General features: G+C 44.4%; 2 pseudogenes across 2 annotated transcripts in view, besides 2 other annotated features; both read right to left on the bottom strand.

Annotated features, from left to right (window-relative positions):
• Positions 1-13,728, bottom strand: part of FAM153CP (family with sequence similarity 153 member C, pseudogene) — a 55,897-nt pseudogene extending 42,169 nt beyond the window's left edge. Inside the window, exons 1-2 of one of the 2 annotated variants that reach the window (NR_149722.1) lie at positions 13,286-13,728; positions 12,039-12,094 (exon numbers count right to left, since the gene is read on the bottom strand). The product of NR_149722.1 is annotated as a family with sequence similarity 153 member C, pseudogene, transcript variant 2 (transcript). Of the gene's footprint in view, positions 1-12,038; positions 12,224-13,285 lie in introns of those variants that run through there. The other variant, NR_159407.1, reaches the window with a different exon arrangement.
• Positions 244-3,233: a non allelic homologous recombination region, noted in NCBI's record as "DLCR-2B recombination region, recombines with the PLCR-B recombination region". NCBI's record gives the evidence for it as "EXISTENCE:nucleotide sequencing assay evidence [ECO:0000219][PMID:15580547, PMID:15640245]".
• Positions 10,915-11,459: an enhancer, noted in NCBI's record as "NANOG hESC enhancer chr5:177436962-177437506 (GRCh37/hg19 assembly coordinates)". NCBI's record gives its function as "activates a minimal SCP1, AML or CMV promoter by ChIP-STARR-seq in naive H9 embryonic stem cells {active_cell/tissue: H9 hESC(naive)}" and the evidence as "EXISTENCE:reporter gene assay evidence [ECO:0000049][PMID:30033119]".
• Positions 13,912-14,202, bottom strand: LOC100288656 (ankyrin repeat domain 18A pseudogene; annotated as a pseudogene).

Below are 14,519 nucleotides of genomic sequence, written 5' to 3'. Positions count from 1 at the left end.
TACAGCTGGGGACGGGTCAGGGCAGCCCTGGTGGAGCAGCTGCCATATGGGGCACCCCCTGCAGTGACAGTATCAGATGTGTCTCCACCTTCCCAGGGTAGACTGTGGGGTAAAGCTGGGCTCCTCTGAGACCCACTGCAGCTCTGGGGCAGAAAGGGGTCTGGATATATCGTCATCACAGGCTGAGAGGAGCAATGTGGGTGATGTGGCAGTCAAGGTCCCAGGCGGGGCTGACATGGACTCCGGAGCAGAGTCCAGGGGGAGCTTGGGAAGTGAGCACAAAAAGGCCTGAGGGTCTGTTGGGGTGGAGGGTAAAAAGAAATCTGGAAACCTCTAGAGCAGATTCCAGCCCAGCACAGACTGAAGGTCACACAAGCCCAGGGCACAGCCAGGCAGCCCAGTGCTGGGGCACAAGTCACCTGCATCTGCACACTGCTATACAACCTCAGAAACCTCAATTAAAACAGACCTCAACTTCAAGAGCAAAAATTTCCATAGCTGCTCTGGGCCCAGTGAGATGGCATGTGAACATGTGGCCTGGGGCCAAGGAGGATAGCTGTGAACACCTGTGCCGGGACCAAGGAGAATGGCTGTGGACACCTGGGCTAGGCCCAAGAGGACAGCTTGGAATAACTGGGATGGGCCCAGAACGTAGGGCTACGAACACCTGGGCTGGCCCCAATGTGGACAGCTAGAAACCGCTGGTATGCGCTCAGGAGTTCTGTTCATTTTGGCTGAGCCAAAGGAAGACACGTGTGAACATCTGCACTGGGCCTAATTAAGACAACGGTGAACAGATGGGCTGTCCCCATTGAGGATGTCTGTGAAACCCTGGCCTGGGACCATGGAAACTGCTGGAAACAACTGGGAGAAGTCCTGTGACAAAAGCCATGAACACCAGGGCTAGGCTCAATGGGGACAGGTGTGGACACCTGGGCTGGGCCCAGTGTGGATGGCTGTCGGTACCTGGGATGGCCTCTATGAGGGTGGCTGGCTCCAATTAGCACACGTGTAAGCAAACTGGCTGGCCTTGATGAGGACGGCTAGGGACATCTGGGCTGGCTGTCACGTGGATGACAGAGATCTTCTTGGCTGGCTTAGATGAGGACCACTGTGAACACCGGCGCAGGCCTGGATGAAGACAGCTGGGAAGCCCTGGGCTGGAAACAATGAAGACAGCTATGAACAGGTGGCCTGGGGCCAGTGAAAATGGCTCTTAACCCTGGGCTTGATGTTACTGAGGGGTAGCGTGAACTCCTGGGCTTGCCTTGATATTGACAGCCATCAAAAACTGTTGCTATAATAAACTGAGTTCATACAAACAAGGAAGGCTGTGAACCCCTGGGCTGACCTTGATGGGGATGGCTGCAAACACCTGGCCTGGGCCCAGTGAGGACAGCTATGAAGTGCTAGGCAGGGCCCAGCGAGGTCAGCATGGAACTCCTGGGCTGGCCCAATAAGGATGTCTGTGAACACTGGTCTGGCCCACTGAGGACAAGGACTAACACCTGGGCTAGCTACCAATGAGGATGGCTGTGAACGCCTTGGCTGGGCCCTCTAAGGACAGCTTGGAGTGTTTGGACTCGGCCCAGAGTAAACAGCTGTGAAGCCCTGAGCTGGGCCCAGTGAGGGTGGCTATGGAAACCTGGGCTGGGCCAGTGAGGACAGCTGTGAACACCTGGCCTGGGTCCAACGAGAACAGCTGAGAACACTTGGGCTAAGCCAATAAGGACAGCTGTGGCACCGGGGACGATTGCCCTGAAGACAGCTGTTAACATCGTGGCTGGTCGCCTTGAGCACAGCTATGAATGTCTAGGCTGGGCCCAATGAAGACAGCCGAAAACACCTGCCCTGGTTTCAGTGAGAGCCACTGTGAGCACTTGGGCCTGTCCCCATGAGGATGCCTATGAACAGCTGGCTGGGCCCAAGATGAATGGCTCTTGACACCTAAACTCAGCCCTAGAAAGATGCTGTGAACAACTGGGCTAATCCCACTGATGACGACTATTAACACCTGGGCTGGGCCCAAGTGAGGGCGACTTCGGCTGGACCCGGAAAAAATGGCTGTGAACACCTTGGCTTTGCCTGATGAAGATGGCTATGAACCCATGGCCTGGGCCCAATGAGGAAAGCTGTGAACACCTGCGCTAGCCCCAGTGAGGGAAGCTGGGAAAACCTGGGCTGGGCCCAGTAAAAGCAGCAGCGAACAACCAGGCTGGCCTCAGGAGGACAGCTTTGAACACTGAAACTGATCATGATGAGGATGGCTGTGGATACCTGGGCTGGCCCAGATGAGGAGCACCATTAACTCCTGGGCTCGCCCCCAATTAGAACAGCCATGAACACCTGGTCTTGCTCAAGTAATGATTGCAAGGAACAACTAGGCTCAGCCAATGAGGACAGCTGTGAACCCCTGCACTGAGACAAATGAGGATGGCTGGGAACACCTCAGCTGGCCCCAGCGAGGATGGCTATGGATACCTGAGCTGTGCTCCATGGGGATGGCAATGTACACCAAGGTTCGGCCAAGTGACAGTTCTGAGAAACCTGGCTGACACCAGTGAAGACCGCTGTGAAAGCATGGGCTGCTCCCAGTTAAGACAGCTTTGCATACCCGGTCTGGGCCCAGTCAGATCGAGTGTCAACATCTGGCCTGGGGCCAAGGAGGATAGCTCTGAACACCTGTGCTGGACCATTGAGGATGGCTGTGGACACCTGGGCTGGGCCCAAGGAAACAGCTTGGAATAACGGATTGGCCCAGAATGCATGGCTACCAACACCTGGGCTGACCCCAATGTGGAAAGCTATAAATACGTGATGTGGGCTCAGGAGAACAGCCTTGTTCCTTTTGGCTGAGCCCTGTGAGGCAGCTATGGGCATCTGCACTTGGCCTAATTAAGACAACGGTGAACATCTGGGCCATCCCCATTGAGGACACCTGTCAACACCTGGCCTGGGACCATGTGAATTGCTCAGAACACCTGGATTAAGTCCAGTGAGGAAAACTATGAACACCCGGGCTATGCCCACTGAGGACAGCTGTGGACACATGGGCTGGCCCCAGTGAGGATGCCTGTAAATACCTGAGACGACCTCTATGAAGGTGGCTGGCCCCAATAAGCACGAGTGTGAACAAACTGGCTGGCCTCGATGAGGACGGCTAGGGACATCTGGGCTGGCTATCGTGTGGATGGTAAGAGAACACCTTGGCTGGCTTAGATGAGGACCACTGCGAACACCTTTGCAGGCCTGGATGAAGCCAGCTTTGAAGCCCCGAGCTGGGCACAATGAAGACAGGTATGAACAGGTCATCTGGGGCCAATGAAAACGGCTCTCAAACCCTGGGCTTGATGCCATTAAGGAGAATGGCGAACACCTGGGCTTGCTTTGCTTTTGATTGCTATGAAAAACTTAGCTCATGCAAATGAGGACCTACAGTTGTGAGCCACTGTGCCCCGACCTACTTTGTATTATTAAAACACATGCCAAACCTGGCGTCGTGGCTCTTGCCTGTGATCTCAGCACTTTGGGTGGTGGAGACGAGTGGATCGAGGTCTGAAGTTCAAGGCCAGCGTGGCCAAGATGCTGAAACCCCACCTCTACTTAAAATACAAATACTACCCGGGTGTAGTGGCAAGTGCATGTAATCCCAGCTACTCAGGAGGCTGAGGCAGGAGAATCACTTGAACTCGGGCGGCAGAGGTTGCATTGAGCCAAGACTGTGCCACTGCACTCCAGCCTGGGCAGCAGAGAGAGACTGTCTCAAAAAAACAAAATAAAACAAAAAACAAACAGAAAAACATGCCAATAGGATAAAAAAAAAAAAAAAAGACAAGTACTGAGCTTTAAAATGAGTTGAAATCTCCTTTCTGCCACTTCCTATATATAAAAAAACTATCCTAATCTCTTTGAGTCTCACGTTCTCTATCTAGAGAAACACTTGACCAGAATGTTTAACACAGGTTAAAGTACTAGAGGTTATTTTAATTTGTCCTATGATTCCTTAAAATTCTGTAATTCTATGTGCTTTTGATTCTGTCTATAAGAAAACTGGGAATACATAGTCAGCAGATTTTGAAAAAATAATACAACAAAAGAAAGACCAAGAAAAGCAGAGAAGAAAGTTTTACAACATCAAGACAGGATTATAGAAATGTCATGGAAAAAGGAAAAAGTCTAAAAAAAAGTATTATGGAATTAAGCAGAAGTACTAGCCTAAAGGGAAAACCAAACTGGGAAGTCAAATAATTTCTGAGACTTGTCTAATCTTGCTTTTGTAAAATTATAATCCTATGGCCAAACCTTTACTTTGCCCTAAAGCCTTTGATGGTAAAATAAGATATTGGCTACCACTGAAACTGTCAAATTTATGAGGAGAAACTCTTGGACTAACCACATTTCTAACAATAACCTTAAATGAGAGTTAACATACAACCAGATTTGACTGTCTAAATTAATCTGATTCAGACGTGTACCTTGATCCAAGTGCTGCACAGATTTCTATCAATCTATGCTGAGGAGCAAGATAAGGGATCTGGAAGCCAGACAGGCTGATGGTTTAACTGTGGGTCAGCTACTTTGTTAACTACGGGGTCATGAGCCAATTAATCAACCTCTAAACCACAGTTGCCTATGTAATAAACAGTAGGTTATAAGAACACAGATGTTGCAATGGCTTTATGGGATGATAAATGCATAGCACACAATAGGGGTTTAGCCCAGAATACAACACTCAACAGATATGAATCTCTTCCATCTATATTTCCTTAGTTAACATATTTTTTTAAATCTGTAAAATCCTACCTGACTGCATATTCATCAGAACTCCCAGAATCTATTAAAGAAAAAGGTATACTGCATTATAAATCAATAATAATTGTATAGAATATTAAAAGCATAAGAAGGCACAGTGATACATGCCTGTATTCCCAACTACTTGGGAGGCTGAGGCAGGAGGATCACTTGAGGAACCCAGAAGTTTGAGGCCAGCTTGGGAAACAGCAAGACTCTATCTTCACAAAAAAGTTATGCACACTTGTGTGCAGACTTCAGACCATGTTTTTTTCTTTTCTTTTCTTTTCTTTTTTTAAAGCATAGGACTGATGCTTTGTTATATAGCATTCCTTTGGGAGCATAACCGGGACCTTATTAGAATTAATATTAATTATACCTATTAGTAGATAATTAATGCAGTAAGAACTCTTACTTCCCTTACTTTGTATTTATTAAATGCAAAGAAGAATAAATTTATAAAATTTGATATCTACAAGTGAACCGCAGTATACAAGTTATCCTAGCCAAACCCTGTGAGATTGACTAAAAATGGTATTGTTAGCAGAACAGGTGTGATGAATGAACAGTGTCAAAGAGCATGATTTCAGGACCAAAACATGACGGGCAGTTCAAACAGAGTATACAGTAGTACCCCTTGTCCACTGTATGTGTGGAAAAGACACATTTGACCTGTTTTTCTCTGCTGTCACGTCACAGCAACAATAACAAAGAAGTCTCCTGTGACAAAACGTGTGGAGGGTTTTTCTCCACCAACAAGTAAGCAATCATTTCTGCCGATGACACAAACTGGGCATCCTCTAAGTCAATTCTCACACTCTATCTGCAGATAGCATCAGATTGCACAGGTAAAGGGCTCAGTCCCATGAAACTGCCTCCCTACATCAGTTGTAGGTCTGAAACTCCAGAACTTCTGGCCAACTGTCTTCAAATTGAGGTTCCCAGGACTCCCTCTTTGGGTTAAATTGAATTGCTAGAGTGGCTCAAAGTACTCAGGGAAACACATTTACCAGTTTTCTATGAATGACATTACAAAAGATACAGATGAAGAGATGCATAGTGCAAAGTATGGGGGAGGTGGCACGGAGATTCCATGCCCTCCCAGGACACACCATCCTGTAGGAGCCTCCATGCATTCAGCCATCTGGAAGCTCTCCAAGCCCAGTCACTTTGGGTCTTGATGAAAGCTTCATTATATTGGTATCACTGATTAATCACTGGCCTTTGGTGACTGACAACCTTCAGCTCTTCTCTCCTCTCCAGAGTCTCCTGAATGAGACAGAAGATCTCAACACTCTAATCAATCATGTCTTCAGGATGGTGACCAGTTCCCATCCTGAAGCTACCTAGGGGCTTCCAGCCATGGATCATTAGCATACAAAAAAACATCACTTTGGAAATCCTAAGGATTTTAAGAATTGTACCCAACAAATGAGTTAAGATCCAGAGATTTTACATCTGCAGTTTTGATTTCTGTGGTTACAGTTACTAATAGTCAACTGTATTCCAAAAATATACACGGAAAACTCCAGAAATAAAGAGGTCATAAGTTTTAGTGTGCCATTCCGAGAAGCACAGTGAAACCGTCAGCACCCTCTATCCAGCCCAGGATGTGAATCGTCCTGCAGTGCACCCACACTGCACATGCTGTCCACCCGTTAGTCATCAACACGGTCTCCTCCTGTAGCCCGCCGCCAACATCAAGGCCTGACGATCTAGGATCACGTCATTCACCTCAGTTCATCTCATTACACGGGCATTGTATCACTTCACATCATCACAAGAAAAAGGGTGAGAACCAGCCGGGTGCAGTGGCTCACACCTGTAATCCCAGCACTTTGGGAGGCCGAGGCGGGCGGATCACGAGGTCAGGAGATCAAGACCATCCTGGCTAACACGGTGAAACCCCATCTCTACTAAAGAAATAAAAAAAAAAAAAATTAGCCGGGCTTTGTGGTGGGCGCCTGTAGTCCCAGCTACTCCGGAGGCTGAGGCAGCAGAATGGTGTGAACCCAGGAGGCAGAGCTTGCAGCGAGCCGAGATCACAGCATTGAACTCCAGCCTGGGCGACAGAGCGAGACTCCGTCCCAAAAAAAAAAAAAATGGGTGAGAACCGTACAATATATTTCAAGAGACCACATTCAAGTAACTTTTATTACAGTATAATTTGTTATTTTATTGTTCGTTTCTTACTGTGCCTAATTTATACATTAAATATTATCATGGTTATGTATGTGTAGGAAAAACCAGTGGGTGATTCAGTACTATTTGTGGTCTCAGGCATTCACTGGGGGTGTCTTAGAATGTTATCTCCCATAGTTAACGGGGAACTACTGCACTTATTTTGTTGTAACACAACACAGCCTCTCTAGCTCTTCAGTTAAAACTTTTCAGTATAGAATCAAACACCCTATCACCAGAAGCCAGCAGAATGTAGGAATCAGACCAGCAACAGGGATCCTTGCAAAAACTTTCCAGCTGCCAGTGGAGAAGAGCTCAAGAGAGCTCAATGTGTTACTCTGGATACTACTCTTCTGGGGAAGGTGCTGGGTGGTTTCCTTAGTTGTAGCTATATACTCTGCCCTACGTATAAGAAGGCCCAAATTCACCTGCCATTTTACCTCCCACGGAAAGAACCACTGGAAAGATCACTCCTTTAAGAGCTTATACACTCGGAACCACGCCTCACATTCAGAGAGAAGCTTAAGAAACACCGGCGAGGTGTGCCAGGCTGCCAGGCAGTACTATATGATGTGAAAAATATACAGAAAGAAAACTATCAATGCCCTCTTGCTGCCAGAATGTTCCAATGCTTGCCCCTTTCCCTAGTAGGAGAAAAAAATTCTTTTTCACCTCACATAAAGCAAAACTGCCGTCCCTCACGACACAGAATCTAGTTGCAGGTGAGTCATGTCATCATAACACAGACTGTTTTCAAAGTCATCCCTCAAAGGAAGAGGATCAGTGAGGAACATATGTATTTATCTATAACATTCACTGCCTGGTCTTATTTCCAACCCAAGGTAAGTATGAAAGACTTTGTGATTCCAGTTTTTTAAAGTACAACCTCTTGAGCTTCTCCCCTTCCATTGCTAGGGAGTCTATCTGGACCCACCTCACTGGAGCAAGATGCTCCAGTTTGTGCTGTGTGGTATTGCATGGTGTCATTTTCCTCAACCCTTTCCATTATGTGGCAAAGGCCTATACAAATCATGTTTCCTAAGTATGTAAAGCATATGTCATCAGACCTTACAAAGACAAAGAAGCTAAAGAAAAACAAAAGGACAAAGAACATCTTAAATGACTACATTCAATTACCATGGAACTTTACTTTTTTAACTATTCAAAAAGATATCCATTGTATTATTTCAACTATATGACTCTCCTGAAAAAAGTAAAACTATGAAGACAGATAAAAGATCAGTGGTTTCCAGCAGCTGCTAGGGAGAAAGGGAGAGATGAACAGGCAGAGAATAGAGCATTTTTAGGGCAGTGAAACTGTTCTATCTATAATAAATAGACACATGTCATTATACATTTGTCCAAATTCACAGAATGTACAGTATTAAGAATGGAGCCTGATGTCAACTATGAACTTTGAGTGATTATAATGTGTCAATGTAGGATCATCAGTTGTAACAAATGTACCACTCTGGTGGAAAATACTAATCATGGGGGAGGCCGTGCATGTGTGGGAGGCATGGAACAGAGGAGAAATCTCTGTACCTTCCTCCGATTTTGCTGTGAACCTAAAACTGCTATAAGAAATAGAGTTATTGATTTAAAAAACATATTCACTGTCTATGCATCCCAGGATTTCCAGAACAAAAATAAAAAATAAAAGATATTCACTGAATCTGTTATTATGATATATTTAAGCAGGACACAGTGGTAACCCTAAAAATTGGAGATCATTAAAGACCAAAGTAACAGCATGTGGGCATGATTTCTCAAATCGCAGTATAGAAAATGCATAAAACAAATAAATTCAATTGCAAGCTTAGGCAAGAAAATATTGATAAAATGATTAAATATCTTATTTCCTAACTCTAAACAGGGATTTAGCACGATATGAAAACTAGATTCACATAATCAAAATAAAAGACCATTTTTATTCCAATTTTAACTCAGAAATTATTATGCTTATTCAATTTAACACTTTCACTGAAAGGTTAAAGAGATAAGAAGGACAGATTATAATTGCTTAATATTGCTATGGTAACTTCCATTCAAATACCTGTGAGTCACCAGAAGTCAAAAAGGTAGCCAGCATTGCAACACAGGATGGATCATGCAACAGAAACTAGCACCAGGTTACCTTATCTTATAATATTATTTGCTGTTAAAATGAAATTTTAAAACAGCACCAAAAATTAAGTTGGGGCTAAAACTGTTGTGCAGGAAAGATTTCATATAGCAGGAGAGAGACTGCCGTCCTTAGAAAGACCCGCATGCAAGCCTGGCCCTTGGCTGTTGTTTAGGAAATTGGAATTGGGAGGGTTCCCACCATGCCCTAAGACTGGTCACTGTGTCTAAAGTGTTTATAGAAACAATGCGGTTACTTCTGAGCAGCTGCTTTCCTTCTGAGAGTCGGAATGTGGGTACATATGAGGGAGAGTAACCTCCATAAAAAACACTTGGGTACTGAGTCTCTAATGAGATTCTGGGACTGGTAGACATCACTGCACATGGGTTGTCAAAATGTGAGGCTGGGAGAATTAAGCAGATCCTGGGAACTCCACAGGAGAGAACTTCTGGAAGCTTGTGCCTGGTTTCCTCCAGACTTGACCACCACATGCACCTTTTCCCTCTCATTTTGCTTGTACCCTTTCATTGTAATCAATTAAAGATCTGAATATGATTATTTGCTGAATCCTGTGAGTCCTTCTAGTGAATCACCAAACCTGGGGGTGGTCTTGGGAACCCTTGTCACAAATGCATTATATAAGGTTTTTATTAAGTTGACATGACCTATAATCAGATGGTTATTTCACAGAATAACTTTCCCTAATCTGTTTTTCTTTTCTTTCCTTGATATTTGACTTGGAGGTTCTTGTATTTCTATACTCAACTGATTAAAGCCATAAAAGAAATAAGTGAAGCAATTGTTAGAAAATAATGGGAAATAAGCAGCAATCCTAGTTTTACCAGAATAAAAAATAGGGAATCTTGATGATTGACAATATGTTCTACAATATGAATGTTTCTAGAAAAAAAAATGAAAAGGTGGTCAATTTTCTGCAACTCAACTGGGCTTAATTCCTTTTTATAATAATTGTGCAGGCCAGGTGTGGTGGCTCACATCTGTAAAATCCTAGCATTTTGGGAGGCCGAAGCAGGAGGATCACTTGAGCCCAGAAGTTCCAGACTTCCAGACCAGGCTGGGCAATATAGTGAGGAAAAAAAAACCTTAAAAGGAAAATTAGCCAAGCGTGGTGGGGCATGCCTGTAGTCCCAGCTACTTGGGAGGCTGAGGTGAAAGAATCATTTAAGGCCAGAAAGCAGAAGTTGCAGGGAGCCAAGATAGATCCCACCACTGCACTCCAGTACTGGCAACAGAGGGGGACCTGTCTGAAAAAATAATAATAATAAAAATGAATAAATAAATAAATGATTGTGTATCCAGCTAGATGTAACTACACATGGCTACAATCCCAGCTACTCAGGAGGATGAGGTAGGAGGACTGCTTGAGCCCAGAAGTTCCAGGCTACAGTGAGCTATGACTGTACCACTGAATAGACACCGTATTCTAGCCTGGGCAACATAGAGAGAGCCCATCTCTTATAATAATGATAATAAATTAATTGTGCATCATTCAAGTAACTTGTATAACTGGAAAAAAGCATAACCATTGAATATAGTATAATAGTATAATAGTATAACTACTGATCATAGAGTTCCTTTTACTTGCCCCTAATCTTTTCATTTCTCATAAGACTAAAACATGGTTGACCCATTCAAGGCAGTTCATCACAGAACAAGTCAAAAAGCCAAAAGAATTGCATGCAAGCTGTAGGCTGTGTTATCCACTACTCCCTGCAAGCAGTGGATTTGGTCATTAACAATCAGCAGGACTTTTAACTTTGTGTGCGTGTGTGTGTGTGCGCACCCGAACGCACATGTGTGTATGTGCACGTGTGTGTGTAAACTATGACAGATAAAACCATTTTGCTTATGTAAGAATATGTAACATAACTTGTGCTTCTCACAAAGGAATTGCTTTTCTGTTTTCTGCACTCAGTAGGTATCTTCAAAAAATAATCTCCTATTCGTATGGGTGCACACTGGTTCACTTTTACAGTTCTTACTGCCATTTATTTATTCTACGAGAAAGGGATTGTTGAGTTCCCGGTTCTAAAGATACTTCCTTAGTGACACAAATTAACAGGTAATACAGTTCACCCTTGAACAGCAAGGGTTTGAGCTGCAGGAGTTCATTTATATGCAGATTTTCTTCTGCCTCTGCAACCCAGAGACAGCAAGACCAACCTCTCTTCCTTCTCAGCCTGAACAACCTGAAGATGATAAAGATGAAGACCTTTGTGAGGATCCATTTACGCTTTATGAAAAGTCAATATATTTTTCCTGCAGATTTTCTTTCTAACAGCTTCACTTGTCTAGCTTACTTTATTGTAAGAACACAGTATATAATAATGCAGCACAAATAAAATAGGTGTTAATCGACCGTTTATGTTATCAGGAAGGCTTCCAGTCAATAGTGGGCTATTAGTAGCTAAATTGGGAAAATCAAAAGTTATACTTAGATTTTCAGCTGCACTGGAATCAGAGCCCCTAACCCCCAAATTATTCATGGGTCAACTGTAATTATGTATTTACTAAATATAAACAATTTATTATAAAAATAAACAACTTATTACAAAAATGAACTAGAAGATCCATATGTATAACAAGTCCAATTTGTTACAATGTGACTATAGAGAAAACATAAATATTATATAGGATTTTCGGGATCATAATTAAGTAAATGATTTTTTTTCAGATAATACTGTTTGAGATTATAAATCAGCTACAACTACCTTCTTAAATAACTCTTAATTCCAAACTAAAGAAGTTAAATATAAGAAACTAATTTACATGTATGTATATATGTATATATACATGCAATTTACACATCTTTTTAAACTTTTCTTTTCCTTCAAAACTACCTTAATCTTACATCTTAATTTTTTTAAACCAAGAGTAGGACCACCACGAGAAATGAGAAATTCACTATCAGAAGTCTTACCTGGATTGTAAGTTTTAAGAATCTTCTTTTTAAGTTCCAAAATTTGGTGTCGAATTCTATATATAAAAAAGTAATAAATAAAATTGCTATTTTAATACTGAAATAAAAGTTACCATATTAAATTCTTAATGTTTGGTAAATGTATAATCAAACTGATTCTTTTTTCCTCGCTGGCTAAAACAAAATACATCTTTGCACATCAACGTACTTCTATATCTATTGTCACCTTTGATGGTCACATATTATTGCATCCTATGGATGCAACTGAAATTTACTTATAAGATCCATTCTATGGGTTCTTTTTAAAATAAGTGCTGTGAAAAACAAAGTGCATGTATCTCTATTTCCCAAGGGTATTTTAGTATAATGGAATTGAAGGGTAACGGGCATACGCATTTTTAAAATATAGTACTTACCACCAAATTATCTATTTAAAAAGTAATCAGCAACTTAAACTTCAGGCAGCAGTATAAAAAACATCCTCACACATTGTGGATAGAAAACAGTTTCATTCCTCTTTTAATTTAAATGCTTATACCAGAAAAGCAAAGGCTTTTTTTCCTATTTACATAAGAAACTTGTAGATCTGCAAAAAAGTACTTTGCCCCCTTTTACAGTTTTTGATTATTTGATTTGAAAGAATTCCCTGTAAAATGAAGATGCACTTTTCAGGCCGGGCGCGGTGGCTCACACCTGTAATCCCAGCACTTCTGGATGGCGGCTCACTGCAAGCTCCCCCTCCCGGGTTCACAGCATTCTCCTGCCTCAGCCTCCGGAGTAGCTGGGACTATGGGCGCCCACCACCACGCCCGGCTATTTTTTTTTTTTTTTTTGTATTTTTAGTACAGACAGGGTTTCACCGTGTTTGCCAGGATGGTCTCAATCTCAATCTCCTGACCTCGTGATCCGCCCACCTCGGCCTCCCAAAGTGCGGGGATTACAGGCGTGAGCCACCGCGCCCAGCCCTAAAATTTTTACAAATATCATTACAATAGTAAAAGACAGTAGGTGTCATGCAAAAATGTTAAAACCTTGATTTTTTCATTCGGCTTATGTAAAATTGATAATCACAGAAAGAGCTCACATTTTGAGAAAAATGTGTCTTCCCATTCAGGAACACAGAACCCACCTCCCACTTCCAAGTTTCCTTCTAAGAACCTTCAGTAAAGAACCGATCTACACAGGTGGATACGGATGTAAAACGGACAGTTTTAGGTGAGAGCTTTTCGCTACTGAAAATGACTCACGGTTTTTTTTTTTTCTTTTCTTTTTTTGGAGACGGAGTCTCACTCTGTCGCCCAGGCTGGAGTGCAATGGCGCGATCTCGGCTCACTGCAAACTGCGCCTCCCGGGTTCACGCCATTCTCCTGCCTCAGCCTGCCGAGTAGCTGGGACTACAGGCGCCCGCCACCACGCCCGGCTATTTTTTTTTTTTTTTTTTTTGTATTTTTAGTAGAGACGGGGTTTCACCGTGTTAGCCAGGATGGTCTCGATCTCTTGACCTCGTGATCCGCCCGCCTCGGCCTCCCAAAGTGCTGGGATTACAGGCCTGAGCCACCGCGCCCGGCCGACTCACGGTATTTTTTGATAGAGGAATGAGTTCTCTCATTAGGCACCTCCTATAATGTATATAACATCATGTTTTAAACGTGTAGGTTAAAAATAACACTGTGTATGCTTAGCTTGGTGAGTTAAATCACTCACATTCTCCACCAAGCGCTCCAGCTGGGGAATTATGGGGGATGCAGAGCAGCTGAGGCTCCGTTTGGCACCACCCCTCTGAGGGTGCCCTCCGAGGCCCCATCCCAGGGGCTGCGGGGAAGCCGGGCCTGGGGACCCCCTCCCACCCTGGGCTGAGCCCACACCCCGCTGCCTGTGCTGCCTGTCCCCGGCTTCCAGGTCTCCGCTCCTGCGCGCCAGGCAGCGCTCCACTTCCGCGGCTTCGCCCTTGACAGCGCCCTGTGGTTCTTCCGATTCGGTACCCCGAACCCCTGTAGACGTGGCCTAGGGAGCCCCGGACCGCCGGCCCCTGCGGCTCCCAAAGCCGAATAACTTCTTCAAGGTGGTGAGTTCTTCTCAGACCCCCAACCACTGGCTCCTGAGCCGCGGCAGCTCCGTGTCACCCTTTCACTCCCCCTCGCCCCACACCCAGCCCCAAATCCCCAATCCAACTCCAAATCCCCTATCCAAACCCCAATCCGCGATCCAACCCCCAATCCGCGATCCAAACCCCAATCCGCGATCCAACCCCCAATCCGTGATCCAACCCCCAATCCGTGATCCAACTCAAAATCCCCGATCCAAATCCCAATCCGCGATACCAAGTCTGCGATCTAGCCCAGAATCCGCGATCCCGCCTGGTCCGCCCTTCAGCAGCGACACTGGCGGCCTCCGACCTCTCAGACCTAGTGAGCCTCGCAAAGCCGCCCGGCTCCCGGAAGCCGCAGGTGCAGGCGCCGCTGGGCTCGCGGGTTCTCCTGG

Source organism: Homo sapiens, chromosome 5 (genome assembly GCF_000001405.40).
Source record: "Homo sapiens chromosome 5, GRCh38.p14 Primary Assembly".
NCBI lineage: Eukaryota > Metazoa > Chordata > Mammalia > Primates > Hominidae > Homo > Homo sapiens.
Note: the sequence above shows the minus strand (reverse complement) of the source record. Positions and strands in the feature narration are given on the sequence as shown.